The 17678-nt window shown below is 43.5% G+C and overlaps 2 annotated features.

Moving 5' to 3' along the window:
- Positions 626-1310: a transcriptional cis regulatory region, noted in NCBI's record as "candidate enhancer chr20.345 targeted for multiplex CRISPR interference". NCBI's record gives its function as "positively regulates PRNP gene expression in K562 cells {active_cell/tissue: K562}" and the evidence as "EXISTENCE:mutant phenotype evidence [ECO:0000015][PMID:30612741]".
- Positions 8414-8615: a silencer, noted in NCBI's record as "fragment chr20:4646806-4647007 (GRCh37/hg19 assembly coordinates)". NCBI's record gives its function as "represses an EF-1alpha promoter that drives an FKBP-Casp9 reporter gene in an ReSE screen in HepG2 liver carcinoma cells and K562 erythroleukemia cells {active_cell/tissue: HepG2 | K562}" and the evidence as "EXISTENCE:reporter gene assay evidence [ECO:0000049][PMID:32094911]".

Genomic DNA, 17678 nt, shown 5'->3' with positions numbered 1-17678 from the left:
AAAGAACAGATAAAAGAAATGAGAAAGAATAAGAATGCTATATTTCATTGGTATTTTTCAACTTTCTAAGATTTTGATGCTCAAAAAATTGTATAGAGGCATTCTTATGTACACACTGCTTTTATGTTTATTTGTTAGAATTGTTATATTCCTTCCCAGTAGAGAGGTACTTGCATAATATTTGTGGCATTTGTAAGTGGAAATCATATGTAACAATAATGCAAAATTACTCATAGGAAAATAACATTTCTGTGTGACCATCTGATGTTGACCATCAGAAGAGGGATTCACTTTGGGTTATTTGTCTAATGATATTGCCAGGTTTATCTTAATTTGTCCACAGCTTCTCCTAGCCTTTCTTGTCCCAAGGGCGCACATTGGCAAGAAGCTTGGGGTGGTCGGGGAAATAGTTTTTGTCCAGGAATTGAGTTAATTTGGCCCACATGACCCCCATGGTCATTTCTAAACTTCACAAAGAAAAAGTACATCATCAAAATAAATCCTAAAATTCACAATAGAACAAATATATAAATGTAGAAAACTATAGTTTCAGAACTGATTAAATAAAAGGAATCCTCAGATCAAAATGTCAGTTTTAACTATAGTGTTCACAGCTGCATGTTCCATAGCTATAAGCCACATGTGCTCTTTAAATTTACATTAAAACATTTAAATAAAACTAAAATTTAATTCCTCAATCACACCTGTCACATTTTAAGTGTTCATTAGCCACACATGGCTGATGTTGGTCAAATAACTTTTACTCTTGTTTTTTTTTAAGTTGTCTGTATACTTTGATCCTGAAAAACCTTTTTAGCTGGAGAGAGACTGTTCCCCCCTGGGCCAGCCAATTCTTAGAGATAACGAAGGACCCAGCCAGGAACGTGCCTTTGATATGAAAACAAACCAGTCCTAAACCAGACCTTCCCTATCTGGCCCATGCAGCTCAGGAAGCAATATTCCTCTGCCTTAATCATCCCAGGGCCAGGTACTAGGCAACTAGAGATCACTACTATAGGCCAAAGATCAACCAAATTATGCAAACGAACCAGTCCTAAACTGTTTACCCTGCCCTGTTCTGCTTTTCCCACTGAAACCCCAATGAAGGCTCTAGCCTCGGCTTTCTCCTCCTGTCTTTTGCTTCCTGACCACTCTGGTGTCTCTCCCATGTGGCCCTTCATGGCTTGCCATGCCTCCGGTCTCTGGGACCTGTGAGTACAAGAGACTTTGTTTTTTCCTGAGCCTCTCCTGTGTTTCCTTTTGTAGCTGCACATGCTCATCTCATAAAAGAATCAAGGGGGCCAGACATGGTGGCTCATGCTTGTAATCCCAGCACTTTGGGAGGAATTCAAGACCAGCCTGGCCAGTGTGGTGAAACCCAGTCTCTACTAAAAATACAAAAATTAGCTGGGCATGGTGGTGAGTGCCTGTAATCCCAGCTACTGGGGAGGCTGAGATGGGAGAATTGCTTGAACCCGAGAGGCGGAAGTTGCAGTGAGCCAAGATCGCACCATTGCGCTCCAGCCTGGGCAACAGAGTGAGACTCCATCTCAAGAAAGAAAGAAAGAACGAAAGAAAGAAAGAGAAGGAAGGAAGGGGAGAAAGAGAAAGAGAGAAAGAGAAAGAGAGAAAGGGAGAAAGAGAAAGAGGGAGAGAGAGGGAGGAAGGAAGGAAGGATGGAAATAAGGGAAATGCATACAGAAAGTTAACTGAAAAACAGAAGTTACATATGTTCATGTTATTCCCCAAACACACTTTAAAGAGTTGGCTTTTATTATTGTTTTATTTATTTATTTCTTTATTGAGATATAGTCTCACTGTGTTGCCCAGCTGGTCTCAAACTCCTGGGGTCCAGCAATCCTTCTGCCTCAGTTTCCTGAGTAGCTGGAACTACAGGTGCTCCCCACCCCACCTGGCTAGAGTTTATTGTTCAGGAATAAAGTTTAAGCTTTTGTGAGTGAGGAATATACTTATCCAACCCATTAGTGTTGAGCTTGTCCATGTAAATTATGCTGGCCAATGGCATGTTAGTGGACGCGGTGGGTCCAGAGGCTTGAAATGTGCTTGTTTTCTTGTTCTTCTGCCTCCATCATGAAAAGAGCCTGCCTTAGACAGCTGTTGGTCCAAAGAGGATGAAATACTCCTGGATCCAACCTGCAATTGAGATCCAAGCCTGCCAAACTCAGTCTATGTTGGCCCAATCCCAGGCAACCTGAGGATGCATGAGTGAAAATCAATTATTTGGTGTTGAATGCCAATCCATTTTGGGTTGATGTGCTATCTCATACCACGCTTACCCTTTCATCTTTTTTTTTTGAGACAGAGTCTCGCTCTGTGGCCCAGGATGGAGTGCAGTGGCGCAATCTCAGCTAACTGCAACCTTCACCTCCCAGGTTCAAACAATTCTCATGCCTCAGCCTCCTGAGGAGTAGCTAGGGCTACAGGTGCCCGCCACCACACCTGGCTAATTTTTGTATTTTTAGTAGAGATGGAGTTTCACCACATTGGCCAGGCTGGTCTCAAACTCCTGACCTCAGGTGATCTGCCCACCTCAGCCTCCCAAAGTGCTGGGATTACAGGCCACCACGCCTGGCCCCTTTCATCTTTTTTTTTTGTATCAATTGTTGTCTCTGCTTTGAATATTCTCCCTATCTTTGTCCACCTGGGTGAAATCCTTGGTATACTTCCAGCTCCACATTCAAATATCACATCTGCTGTGCAATCTTTCTGGATTTGTTTTCTTCTACCATCTAAATATAGTTGTAAGAAATATTTTTTAAAAAGCACCCAAACTTTAAACAAATTTTCTACTCACACTCACTATACAATACTTCACCTCTGGTCACTGACATGTGGGATTTCTTCCCACCAAAAAAAACCCCAATTCTCTGGTAGACATCAACTAAGTGTCATACAATGTAACTCAGAGTTAGTAGGCACTGCTCCATTATCTCATTTCCTGGATAGTATTTCTTGGCTGTAAAAGTGTTCATGATTTTTTTTTTTTTTTTTTTTTTTTTTTTTTTTTTTTTTTGAGACGGAGTCTCGCTCTGTCGCCCAGGCTGGAGTGCAGCGGCGCGATCTCGGCTCACTGCAAGCTCCGCCTCCCGGGTTCACGCCATTCTCCTGCCTCAGCCTCCCGCGTAGCTGGGACTACAGGCGCCCGCCACCACGCCCGGCTAATTTTTTGTATTTTTTAGTAGAGACGGGGTTTCACTGTGTTAGCCAGGATGGTCTCGATCTCCTGACCTCGTGATCCGCCCGCCTCGGCCTCCCAAAGTGCTGGGATTACAGGCGTGAGCCACCGCGCCCGGCCCTCATGATTTTTTTTGAAGTGTTCTTCTCCTTGTATAGTTCCAGTGTCTTCCAGTTGATTATTTTGTATTGGTTTGGGATTTATCTTTCCTGTACCTTTCTTCCTCAGCCATCTGGCAATCTGCTCGTGTGGAAGGGTGAGCCCTTCACAGCTGATTGGATGCTCCGAGTGCACAGGTGGGGCTTGGCAGCTTCAACTGTCTGGGCCCTTTGACTGGAAACCTCTCTGCTTCCTGTTGGGATGGTGGCTGGCGTTCTGGGAACCGCATGAGGAATGAGGCTGGGGGATGGGATAGGGCTGCCCCAGCATCCGCAGTGCCCACACTCATGTAGTTCTCCTGTTCTCAGTGTGACTCCTTGCTTTCCACTGAGTTCAGTGTCTCCTAACCAGATCCTGTATTCACCCTCTTGAAATGAATCTCTGGCTTTCTGCAGGGGAGGGCAGAAAGTCAGTGATCTGGCTAAACAGAGTTGGGGAGATCTGGGGATCTGACAATTCCTTAAACAGCTTTTTTCCAGTTCTCATTACTTCAGCCTTTTCCTCCATCTTCATGTCCAGAGGGGCCAGGTGTCACCAATTAATCAGCCTTTTGGGGATTCAATGGTAAAAATAGGGCAGGCCTTTGGCTTCCTCACTGCCAACCCAGCATTCGACTCCAGGGATCAGCGACCTTAGTGACCTCTCCAAAGTGCCCTTGCTGCATCTCCTCCCCCATTCTCCCTGTGCTCACCGCCCACGGTATTTTCATGAGTGTTCAAGCTGCTGCTTTTACACAGGAGTGCTGATCACGCCATCCTTCTCCAGCCATGCTCTTCTCTTGGCTTCTTGAGTGCCCCATACCTGGTTCCCTTGTCTCCCACTGGCACTCCTCTTGTTGCTGCCTCCCCCTCTTCCTCCTCCTCATCCTGTACGTGGGTGCTGCCACAGGACTTCAGCCAAGGCTCCCATTTGCCTCTGTCTATACTCTCCGAGTGATCTCCTCTGGTCTCATGGTTTTAAACAATATCTGTTTGCTGGTGACACCCAAATTTGCATCTCTAGCCCTGCTTTCTCCTATTTGAGTAGATACTAGAAGGAAATGAGAGTCAAGCTCCGTGGATGTCTGGGAGAGTGGAATTCTGGGCACAGGGGGCAACAAGTGCTGGTGCCAGAGATGCGGTCTGCCTGGCATATTGAGGAGCAGCTGGGATGACCTTGAGCAGGAAGGACATACGGTCTGGTGTCTGAGTTAGGAGTCTGTGGTGGCCACAGCCATCACCTACTACCCTGCTCTACAGGAGAACAGATGGTGAAAATAGTGGAGTGGAGCATGAGTGTACGAGGTCAATGCTAAGGGCATGACCAAGTCATGGGGCCTATCTGTAGGACATGAGAGTCACGGGACTGATGCCTACATACTTGATGGAAAACCCAGGTGTGAAAACAAGAAGACCAAAGGTAGAAAATAGAGTACGTCTCATGACCTTGCTACTCAGACTGTGGTCCCTGGACCAGCAGCATCCGCATCATCTAACCTGGGAGCTGGTTAGAAAGGCAGAATCTCAGGCCCATCCCAGACCAAATCAGTATTTGCATTTTGGCAAGAGCCTCAGATAATTTGTTTGTACATTGAAGTTTGAGAAACGCTGCCTTAAGTGCTCCCAGTGAAGGACCATTGGGCACTCGGAGGAGAGTAGGTGTCTGATGCTCACACAAGTTCCTGAAGATATTCTGCTCATGGTTTGAAAGGCCTATATGTTACTAGATTATACAGTCACCAACCATATAAGATCTAAGGGACACCCAGGCAGAGAGAGTCAGGGATGTAGCCCAGGGCATCCTGGCACTGGAGTGGACCTCAAAGCTTGGACTGGGTACCCCACAGGTTCCTTTCCAACACCAAGAATTTATGCTTCTATATACAATATCTTTGTACATTATCTTTGCCTCCTTGTGCAAGTGATTTCTGTAAGACACATTCCATAAGTGGGCATGCTTAAAATTTTCATAGATATTGCCAGATTTCTCAACAAAAAAGGACACCCATTTGCATTCCTGGTATCAGAACACATGTGTTCTCCACGCTGTTGCCAACATAACTTATTATCAATCTTTTACATTTTGGTACTTGGATACATTAAAAAGTTATATTTAGTGATTCAAATTTATGTTATTGGAAGGTTGGACATCTTTTCATGTGTATTGATCATTTGTATTTTTTGCCCTGTAATAAGTCTGTTCACATACTTCTCTAATTTTTTTAATAAGGTGGTTTTTCTCACTACTGATTTATGCAAACTTTTTGATAAGTGGGAAATTAATTTTGGTCTTTTTCATTACAGATATTTTCTTTTGATTTCATTTAAGACACACACACACACACACACACACACACACACACACACACACAAGCACAAACATACCTTTACAGTGTAGAAATGTAAAATTGTGGCCAGGCGCTTATGCCTATAAATCCCAGCACTTTGGGAGGCCGAGGTGGGCAGTCACTTGAGGTCAGGAGTTTCAGACCAGCCTGGGCAACATGGCAAAACCCCTCTCTACTAAAAATTTAAAAAATTAGGAAGGTGTGGTGGTACATGCCCATAGTACCAGCTACTCAGGAGGCTGAGGCGGGATAATCGCTTGAACCCCAGAGGGAGAGGTTGCAGTGAGCCAAGATTGTGCCACTACACACCAGCCTGGGTGACAGAGTGAGACTGTCTCAAATAAAAAAAAATTAATAAATTTAATATTGTTAGTCACATTCATTTATCATGTCCTTTGTGGCTTCCAGGTTTCATGTTCATGCTTAAGAAGGCTTTCCCCCTTCCTAGCTTATTTTAAAAATGTACCCATGCAGGCCCAGTCAATTCATCAGATGATAAATTCAGTCTTTTAGAATTGTATCTTCTATGGACTGAATGTTTGTGTTCTCCCTCCACTGCCCCTGACTGCCGCCCCTTCATATGTTGAGGCCCTAACCCCCAATATGATGGTATTTGGAGGTGGGGACTTTGGGAAGTAACTAGAACCCCTGATGGGACTAGTGCCCTTGTAAGAAGAGGAAGACAGGCCGGGTGTGGTGGCTTATGGCTGTAATCACAGCACTTTGGGAGGCTGAGGTGGGCAGATCACGAGCTCAGGAATTCGAGACCAGCCTGGCCAAGAGGGCGAAAGCCCGTCTCTACTAAAAATACAAAAATTGGTCGAGTGTGGTGGCAGGTGCCTGTAATCCCAGCTACTCGGGAGGCTGAGGCTGGAGAATCGCTTGAACCCAGGAGGCGGAGGTCGCAGTGAGCTGAGATGGCGCCACTGCACTCCAGCCTGGGCAACAAGAGGGAAACTCCATCTCAAAAAAAAAAAAAAGAGCAGGAAGACAGAGGACTCTCTTTCCACATGTGTGCACCCAGGAAAGGCCATGTGAGGACACAATGAGAAGATGGCCCTAGTGTGCAAAGGCAGAGGGAGAGGGAGCATTTGACTGTCAGCAAATTGTTTTCTGGTGAATTGACCCACAGCCCAGAAACTGGCTCTTGGGTGGATTGATCAATTTACAGATTTTTCATTTTCTCCCTCACACTTAGTTGTTATTTTTATTACATTCTTCTTTCAGTCTTCTTTATGTTACTGTGTTGAGTGCTGGGTTAATTTTTCCATTTCTCCTCATGTCACAATGAGAGCATTTAAGGCGATGTGTTTCCCTTTGAGCACAGCTCTTGCCTCTCTTCCCCCATGAAACTGTTGCAGTACAAAAGAATTTATTCAGCTTGGGCCCCAAAGTCCAAATTCTAATGGGATGATGTGGGGTCTGTGGTAGTAATGAGGCCTGGCCCTTCTGCTTCCTCCTTTCCTACTTGTATGGCTCTCCTAGAACCAGAAAACAGGCTTGTCATGAAAGCCTCACTACTTCACGGAACTTAAACAAGTGTGTGCTGTCACGTTCCAATGCTGCTTATCGTGGCTAAGCCACTTAAACCTCAGGTATTAATAGAAGAGTTACTACATGTTTTGTATGGGTTTTTGCATGTTTGAAACTCATTTTGAATTATCTTGAGTATTTAGGCTTTATTTAAAATGAAAGACTATTAAATCACCTTGTGGCTAACCTTTTATCCCCTCCATAAGCCTTTACATCATTTACTGTCTGGAGTCTCTGAAATGCTCCATATTAACAATGTTTAAGAATTAGATTAGATTAGCCGGGCGCGCTGGCCCACGCCTGTAATACCAGCACTTTGGGAGGCCGAGGCAGTGGATCACCTGAGGTCAGGAGTTCGAGACCAGCCTGGCCAACATGGTAAAACCCTGTCTCTACTAAAAATACAAAAATTAGCCAGGCGTGCTGGCGCACGCCTGTAATCCCAGCTAGTGGGCAGGCTGAGGCAGGAGAATTGCTTGAACCAGGGAGGCAGAGGTTGCAGTGAGCCGAGATTGTGCAACTGCACTCCAGCCTATGCAACAAGAGTGAAACTCTGTCTCAAAAAAAAAAAAAAAAAAAAAAAAGAATTAGATTAGATTATGTACAAAAGTGCAGATAAGGCTATGAAGAAATGCACCCCAGTATTAACTGTGGTTAATTCTGGGTAAGTGGATTCTGGGCAACCTTTTTCTTCGTATTTTCCCTCCAATTTTAAACCTTTTCATTAGCATGTATTAATTTTATAATTTTAAAAGTGTTTTTAAATGATAGAAAATTTAAATTTTTGATATTGTGTAAATTGCAATTATGTAAAAAATAATATGTATATTAATAGGACTAAAAGAGATGTGCCAAAACATTAACAGAGTATTTTTCTGGGTGGTAGTGCAATGGATGATTTTTATTCCTTCCTTTTGCTAATCTGTATTTTCTTAGAATATATTTGTATATTCTTTATTCTTTTCATAATGGAAAAGTTAATTTTCTTTTTAATAAAGTAAATCGAATTCTGCCAGGATGTCCTGGGTACAGAGCTCTTCTTTTCACAGATGTTTCCTGCAATGTAAAGAGTTCTTTGAATTTAAATATTCAGATTTAATCTTTTCATTCTTGGGACAGTTTTGTAACTGCCCAATAGGGTTCACCTTGCCCACTGCCTAGACAGAGATGATTCATCAAGATAGGGGAATTGCAATAGAGAAAGAGTAATTCACGCAGAACTGGCTGTACGGGAGACCCGAGTTTTATCATTTCTCAAATCAGTCTCCTCAAGTATTCTGGGGTCAGAGTTTTTAAGGATAATTTGGTGGTGGGGGGCAATGAGTTAGGAGTGCTCATTGGTTGGGTCAGAGATAAAATCATAGGAAGTCGAAGATGTCTTCTTGCGCTGAGTCAGTTCCTGAGTGGGGACCACAAGATCAGACGAGCCAGTTACCAATCTGGGTGGTGCCAGCTGATTCACCAAATGCAGGAACTGCGAAATATCCTAAGCACTGATCTTAGGTTTTACAATAGTGATATTATCCCCAGGAGCAATTTGGGGAGGGTCAGAATCTGTCTCCAGCTGCATGACTCTTAAACCATAATTTCTAATTTTTTGACTAATTTGTTAGTCCTATAATACAAAGGCAGTCTAGTCCCCAGGCAAGAAGGGGGTTTGTTTTGAAAGGGATGCTATCTTTGTTTCAAACAATAAACTATAAACTAAATTCCTCCTAAAGTTAGCTCAGCCTACACCCAGGAATGAACAAGGGCAGCTTGGAGGTTAGAAGCAAGATGGAGTGGGTTAGCTCAGAACTCTGTCACTGTTTCAGTTATAATTTTGCAATGGCAGTTTCGGTTTTTCTTAATTATGCCTTTGATTATTTGTTCTAGTCTAATGGTTGTTGCTTCTTACTCAGGAACACCCTCTGTTCTTGGGTTGATCTCTGGTTTCTATACTTTTATATCTATCATCTTCTCTCTCATTTTTCATCACTTTATCATTTTTCTCTTTATCTGGGAGAGCTTTGCAAGTTTATCCTCCACATCAGTGCCCAAAGGACAGCCTCCCTCATCCTGGAAATGGGATTATAAGAAACTCATACCTGTTTAGAGGAGAAATTGAGAAACAGTCTGTGAATGCAGCCCAATTGAATGATGTAAAAGAAGTGAGGGTTGTTAGTGACATCCAAGAACCCTGGGAGCATGTGTCTGGGATTGCTGCTTGAACTCAAACCATGGGCCTGACCAGTTAGGATAGCGTGGCAGGACAGGCCAACACGAGGGCCCAGGAGCCAGCTGGGAACCCCATCTCCCTCCTAGGGAGGGGAGGCCACAGGGGAAAGAGAGTCACAGGACGGATCTGCTGGGACCAGCCCTGATGCACAGATGCTAATACACACAGAAAGAGTTGTTTCCAGAGTTCCAGCACCACAGCTCCTCCCTCCAGGAGGAGCTCTTTTTTGAGAAAGAGTCTTGTTCTGTTGCCCAGGCTGGAGTGCAGTGGCTTCATCTTGGCTTACTGCAACCTCCACCTCCTAGGTTCAAGTGATTCTCCTGCTGATACAGAATGGCTGGGTTCCAGCTAAACCCTACCCTCAAGCCTGGAACCTTGGCCCTAAGTGAAAGCAGCTGACCCTGCAGGTCTGGGTTCCCAGCTAAACTCCACCCTCAAGCCTGGAACCTCGGCCCTGCGTGAAAACAGCTGACCCCATTTTTCTGCCCAAATGATTGCCTTTTTGGCCTGCCACGCCCCTATGCTGTGCCCATAAAAAGACTTCAGCTGAAAGAACAACACAAGCGGCTGATGCAAGTGGTCAGGGCTGCAAGCTGCTGAGTATCAGGGATACATGCGGCTGAGCGTCGGCGACTACGGATAGACATAGTTAACTTCAGATGGTGTGGCTTCAGGGAAAGATCACCTTCCCGCACCATCTCCCTTCCAATTCCCTGTCCTGCTGAGAGCCACTTTTACTGCCCAGTAAAATCCTTCACATACTACCCTTCAAATAGTTCATATGACCTGATTCTTCCTGGACACCAAACAAGAACTTGGGTGTCAAAAAGGGCAGGTGCAGGAGGCTGTCACCCTGACCCTTCACCAAGTTGTTAACACTTAGCCATCCATGAACTGCAGGGTGAATGAGATGAGCGACTCCAGTTCCTGCCCATGAAGGGGGTCAAGGGAAAAATTTCACCTCAGTGCCTCAGCCTCCTGAGTAGCTGGGACTACAGATGTGTGCCACCACGCCCGGCTAATTTTTGTATTTTTAGTAGAGACAAGATTTCACCACATTGACCAGGCTGGTCTCGAACTCCTGGCCTTAAGCGATCCACCCGCCTCTGCCTCCCAAAGTGCTGGGAATACAGGCATGAGCTACTGCACCCTGTCTGTTGCATGGCTTTTGAGGTCTTTGTCATAAATTCTTTCCCTAGGTCAATGTATTATTAAAAAGTCAAAAGGCAACAGATGTTGGTGAGGATGCAGAGAAAAGGGAACACATACGCTATTGGTGGGAATGTAAATTGGTACAACCTCCATGGAAAACAGTATGGAGATTTCTGAAAGAACTAAAACTAGAGCTACCATTTGACCTAGCACTCCCACTACTGGGTATCTACCCAAAGGGAAATGAATCGTTATATGACAAAGATACCTGCACTCGTACGTTTATTGCAGCATTATTTACAATAACAAAGTCATGGAATTAACCTAAGTGTCCATCAGCAGATGATGGGGTAAAGAAAATGTGGTATACATACACCATGGAATACTACTCAACCATAAAAAAGAAAGAAAGAATGTCTTTTGCACCAATATGGATGGAACTGGAGGCCATGATCCTACCTAAAATAATTCAGAAACAGAGAGTCAAATACCACATTCTCACTTATAAGTGGGAGCTAAACAATGTGTACACATGGACATACAGAGTGGAATAATAGACACTGGAGACTCCACAAGGTGGGAGGGTGGAAGGGGGTTGAGGGATGAAAAAGTACCTGTTGGATACCATTTACATTATTCGGGTGATGGTTACACTAAAAGTCCAGGCTTCATCGCTATGCAACATATTCATGTAACAAAAATGCACTACATTTATAAATATTTTTTAAAATGTTATTTTCTTTTTGTCACCAAAGTTGGGCTCCCATCAGAGCCACCTGGGCCTCTAATGATTCCATTATTTTGGTTGTACTAGCCAGCCTTCCTGGAGCACTGTGAGGTTTGGGCCTTGGGGATACAACCCTTTGGTTTTACGACATGGATCTCTCTCCCAGGGTGTGTGATGCCCCATGGGGCTGATTTACAGAGGCTTTCCCAGCACAGTCTCACAGTGACAGGAGCCACTGCTCCCTGCAGCATGCACCGTCCTGCTGAGTATATTCCTCCTCTGCCCTCACCATGGGAAGCTGTCTGTCAGGGCCCAGTGCTTGTCCTGTTTCCTGGCTTCATCACCAAGTCTGATGAAATGCTAAGTTCAGGTCATTACCATGGACTTCTGCACTCCATAGAAGTCCAGGTGGCCAGACGCAGTGGCTCACACCTGTCATCCCAGCACCTTGGGAGGACGAGGCTGGAGGATTGCTTGAGCTCAAGAGTTTGAGACCAGCCCAGGATGGCTTTGAATGAGGCTCAACACAAATTCATAAACTTTCTTAAAACATTATGAAACTTTTTTCGTGTGTAGTTTTCTTTTAGCTCATCAGCTATTGTTAGTGTTAGTGTATTTTATGTGTGGCTCAAGGCAATTCTTCTTCTTCCAATGTGGCCCAGGGAAGCCAGAAGATTGGACACCCATGGTTTTATTAATATAGTTACCCCTCACTTTTAAACATAGTTTTACTGAGGTATATTTCATGCACTGTAAGATTTACCCCTTTACAGTGTCTGTCTCAGTGGTTTTAGTATATTCATGGAGTTGTGAAGCAATCACCACATTTAATTTGAGAACTCTTGACCACGCCAGGAAGAAACCCCTTGCACATGAGCAGCCATTCCTTATTCATGCTATCCCTTGCTCCACCCCATCCCCAGGCAACCGCTAACCTGCCTTCTGTCTCTGTGGATTTGCCTTTTATAGACATTTAATATAAATCAAATCATCCAGTGTGTAGTCTTTTGTGACTGGTGAGGACTAAGCTTTGATTTTTTATCTTGCCCAAATTCCTATCTAAGGGGTCTGGGGAGTCATGCCCTACAAACCATAAATTTTCATCAGATGGGTTTTATTTAGCCCTATATATCGTGACTTACTTTCCAACCTGACTCTGGCAAGTTGGAAAACATTATGAGGCAAGAAAGAAAATAAAAATATTTTATCCCAAAACATGTTTCTGGAAACGGCCCTGCAAAGCTGTCCTTTGTGGGGGAAAATGTGCACCTGTAAAGAATCTCTATTTGCATAGCTAGATCTTTTTCTTCCAGGCCCTCCCAATCCCAAAGAGATTAATTAAGAGTCTAGTGCCTTTTAAAGATCTGAATAGGAAACATTTCTCATCTATTGTCTCCAAGGGTAGTCACTATAAGACTTCAAAAGAAACTTGGGCCAGGCGCGGTAGCTCACGCCTTTAATCCCAGCACTTTGGGAGGTGGGCGGATCAAGAGGTCAGGAGATCAAGACCATGGTGAAACCCCGTCTCTACTAAAAATACAAAAAATTATCTGATACAAAAAATTAGCTGGGCCTGGTGGTGGGCGCCTGTAGTCCCAGCTACTCGGGAGGCTGAGGCAGGAGAATGGCGTGAACCCGGAAGGCGGAGCTTGCAGTGAGCCGAGATCGGGCCACTGCACTCCAGCCTGGGCGACAGAGCGAGACTCCGTCTCAAAAAAAAAAAAACAACAACAACAAAAAAGAAACTTGATCTCCACAGTCTGTTATCTAACCTGAACATTTTCCTTTCTAGAGATCCCAGGTCTTAAACTCAACCAATTGTCAACCAGAAAATGTATAAATTTACCTATATTACCTACAGCCTGCAGGTGCAAGGCTCTTGTATTGGTTCCAAACCCGAGAGCGCGCCGACAAACACCACAAGGTGGTTTGGAGCAACACGTTGTTTCAATGAGCACCTGGGTGCAGGTGGGCTGAGACCTAAAATGGTGTCAGCACCAGATGAGGACGGGGCAGGGGTTTTATAGTCTCCTGTAAACAGGAAGTGTCTCAGTCTGATGTAACGGCTACGCGGTACCCCGGTGGCCTCTCTCGGTCTTCAGGGAGTACGTGTCTTCCGGCCAGCTCTCTTCCTGCCTCTGCTATCTCACCGATGCAGGTTGCTGGTGCAGGTGGCCTTGCACCTTGGGACTGGGCCTGAGGAAGGAGGAGTTATTCATTCCCTTAAGCTTGCAGGCCCGGGAGAGAAACTTTCAGCTGGAAGCAACCCCCTCCCCCGCCCTCCCTCCCTCCCTCCCCAGTCCCCCTGAGTTGTCTCACCTTTCTGGACCAAACCAATGTATTTCTTAAATGTATTTGATTGATGTCTCATGCCTCCCTAAAATGTATAAAACAAATCTGCACCCCAACCACCTTGTGCACATGTGCTCAGGACCTCCTGAGGGCTTTGTCACAGACCACGGTCACTCATATTTGGCTCAGAATAAATTCCTTCAAATATTTTACAGAGTTTGACTCTTCGTTGACACTAGCTTCTTTCACTTAGCATAATAAGTCAAGGTTCATCCACGGTTGGTATGTCTCAGCACTTTTTTTTTTTTTGAGACAGGATCTTGTTCTGTCGCCTAGCTTGGAGTGCAGTGGCATGATCTGGGCTCACTGCAGCCTCTGCCTCTCAGGCTCAGGTGACCCTCCAGCCTCAGCCTCCTGAGTAGCTGGGACCACAGGCATGCGTCACCATGCCCAGCTAACCTGTGTATTTTTGTAGAGACAAGGTTTCGCCATATTGCCCAGCTGGTCTCAAACTCCTGGGCTCAACCAATCTGCCCCCGTCGGCCTCCCAAAGTGCTGTGATTACAGGCATGAACCACTGTGCCTGGCCCACTTCGTTCTTTATTATTGCTGGATAATATTCCATTGTGTGGATACCCACATCTTATTTCTTCACCAGCTCATGGACATGTTTTCACTTTTTGGCTAATATTAATAATGCTGTTATGAATATTCATGTACAAGTTTTTGTGTAGGCATGTGTTTTTATTTCTCTTTCATTATATTTAAAAGTGCGATTGCTGGATCATATGATGACTCCATGTTTAACATTTTGAGGAACTGCAGGACTGTTTTCCAAAGTGATTGTACCATTTTACATTAGGATCAGCAATGTATGAGGATTCTAATTTATCCATGGCCTCACAAGCACTTGTTATTGTCTGTCTTTTTAATTTCAGCCCTCTTAGTGAATGTGAAGTGGCAATTTTCATGTGCGTCCGTGTGAAGAGACCGCCAAACAGGCTTTGTGTGAGCAACATGGCTGTTTATTTCACCTGGGTGCAGGCGGGCTGAGTCCGAAAAAAGAGTCAGCGAAGGGTGGTGGATTGTCATTAGTTCTTATAGGTTTTGGGATAGGCGGTGAAGTTAAGAGCAACGTTTTGCCGGCAGGGGTGGATCTCACAAAGTACATTCTCAAGGGTGAGGAGAACTACAAAGAACCTTCTTAAGGGTGGGGGAGATTACAAAGTACATTGATCAGTTAGGGTGGGGCAGAAACAAATCACAATGGTGGAATGTCATCAGTTAAGGCTATTTTTACTTCTTTTGTGGATCTTCAGTTACTTCAGGCCATCTGGATGTATACGTGCAGGTCACAGGGGATGCGATGGCTTGGCTTGGGCTCAGAGGCCTGACAGCAATCATTGTAGTTTTCATCTGTATTTCCCTAGTGACTTATGACGTTGAACGTCTTTTCCTTTGTTTGTCGGCCATTTGTATTTCTTCTTTGGAGAAGTGTCTATTCAAAGGCTTTGCCCACTTTTGATTGAGTTATTTATCTTTTTGTTGTTGAGTTGTAAGATTTATTTATATATTCTGAATACCAGCCCCTTATCAGATATATGATTTTCAAATATTTTCTCACACTCTGTGGGTTGTCTTTTTACTTTTTTGATGATGTCCTTTAAAGCACAAAAGTTTTACATTTTGATGCAGTCAACTTACCTATTTTTTCTGTGTGTGCGTATTTTGTGTTGTATCCAGACAACCAATGCCTAACCTGATGTCACAAAGATTTCTCCAGTATGTTCTTCTAGAAATTTTATGCAATTTAGCTCTTGAAGTTAGGTCTATGATCCATTTTCAGTTTTTTTGTGTGTGTATAATTTGAAGTAGGGGTCCAAATCATTCTTTAGCATGTGTATATCCAGTTGCCCAAGTACGTACCACTTATTAAAAAGCCAATTTTCCCCACTGAATTGTCTTACGCTCTTTTTGAAAACCGATTGACCATAAATATGAGGGTTTATTTCTGGACTCTCAATTCTATTCCATTGACCTATGTATTTATCCTTATGTTAGCAGTACATTTCCTCACTTTCTACCTGGGCCTCTATATCTAAAGTGGTTTCTATAATATGGTTAGGTCTTGCTTTTTTCTTTTTTAAATTTCATTCAACTTGATTATCTCTGTCTTTTAACTGGAGTATTTACATCATATTTAAAGTGATTATGGATATAGTTGAATGAAAAACTACCATCTTCACCATCTTCATAACTATTTTTGTTTTCATTTGTTTTTTGTTTCTTTTCACTCCTTCCTTCTGCATTCTCTTGTTTTAATTATGTTATATGATTCCGTTTTATCTTTTATCCTGGAGTATCATTTATACTATTAAAACCTTTTTAGTGGTTGTTTTAGAGTTTTTACAATCTGCACTTAAAAATAACCTAAGCCCGCATTCAAATAATACTATACCACTTCATATCTAGTATAGGTACCTCATAATACAGCATTCCCAACCTCTTTTTCCCATCCCTTGTGACATTACTATCATTTATTTCACTTATCCATATTAGATATTTTTAAATATCTAATAGCTTGCAGTTCTGGAGGCTGGGAAGTCCAAGCATACAATACACTGTTAATTACCATTTTCAAGTTTTCTTTTAGAACAATTAAGAATTTTAAACAATTGTGTATTATCTTTGTTTAGCCTTTGATGGTGTTCCTTTCTTTACGTAGATCAAGGTTTCTGACCTAAATAATTTTCTTTCTGCCTGAAGAACTTTAACATTCCATGCTGATAATGAATTCCCTCAGTTTTTGTCTGAGAAAGTGTTTATTTCTCCTCCTTTTCTGAAGGATAATTTCTCTGGATATAAAATTTTAGATTGGCAATTTCTTTTAACACTTTAAGGGTTTTGCTGCACTTTCTTCTTGCTTGCATGGTTTCTGATGAGAAGTTCACTGTAATCCTATTCCTCTGCAGGCCAGGTGTTCTTTCTACCTGGGGACTAAGCCTTTGCTAGGAATGATAGTCTGGGCAGGTTTTCAGATGCCTACTCTTCTCTTCTCCCATCTTGACCCGAAGGGGCTCTTTCTCAGATTATCCCCATGGGAACCTAGTGGGGCTTCTGGAGTGACAGTCCATGTAAGTGTCAAGCCCCTCTTATGGCTGCAGGCCCTCACCAGAGTTTCTCACTCTCATACAAGTCTGCACTCAGCCTCCTGCAATTCAGCAAAGTAATAATTTAAGTGTTCCCACCAGCTTACTGATTCTAATGGCTTTTATTCTAGGTAAGTAGATCTCAGGAGCAATAGCTCTGTGGATGCATCTGTCTCTCCAGAGCTCAGGGTAGTGGTTTGCCCTGTGACCTCAGTCTCTGATGGTTCCAAGAAGAGTCTATTATCTTCAATTTGTCCAGCTTTTTCTGGTATACATAGGTATGATGACTTAGCAGCTCTTTACGTCTAGGAGCTTGTTTGTGTGTTTTTTTTAAAGGTGCTTGAATGGATGAATAACTCTTTACCGTAAGACTAGAGAAATCTGTGTGTCTGCTCCTCAGGTTGAACCCCAGTGGGTGGTGAACGAGTTAGTGCCCAAGCCCTAACCTATTTTTTTAGGCAAAGGCTCTGTCTTCTGCCTCCTCTCATGTAAGCAATGAAATGTTAATCAGCAGGTTAGAGTTGCATTAAACCAGGGTTGGGGTTTAGCCAGGTGAGTGAGGACCAGAGAGTTGAGGGTGTGTGTTAAGTGAGTGATTATACACGTGAATCATAAAATTTAAGCCTGAAAAGTAGAGAAAGGAGGGATGGTGAAAAGGCAATAGGAACTGTTGTAGGTTCTGGTTTCTTTTATATAGTTAGGTAGTAATGACTTCTTATTACCTAGTCAGCACTTTCAATAGAAATCAACAACTGTTTTGGGACCATCACTAGGCAAGGCACTGTGTTAAATGATGTAGCACAAAAAAAGACCATCTGTGCCATTCAGGAGAGGTAAGCATGCAATTCAAGGAGACAAAGTATTCCAAGTACTATACTAAAAAGCAAAAGATTCTGAAAAGAGTCTAGTATCTTCAGCTGACCATT

Source organism: Homo sapiens, chromosome 20, assembly GCF_000001405.40.
Source record: "Homo sapiens chromosome 20, GRCh38.p14 Primary Assembly".
Classification (NCBI taxonomy): Eukaryota; Metazoa; Chordata; class Mammalia; order Primates; family Hominidae; genus Homo; species Homo sapiens.
Note: the sequence above shows the minus strand (reverse complement) of the source record. Positions and strands in the feature narration are given on the sequence as shown.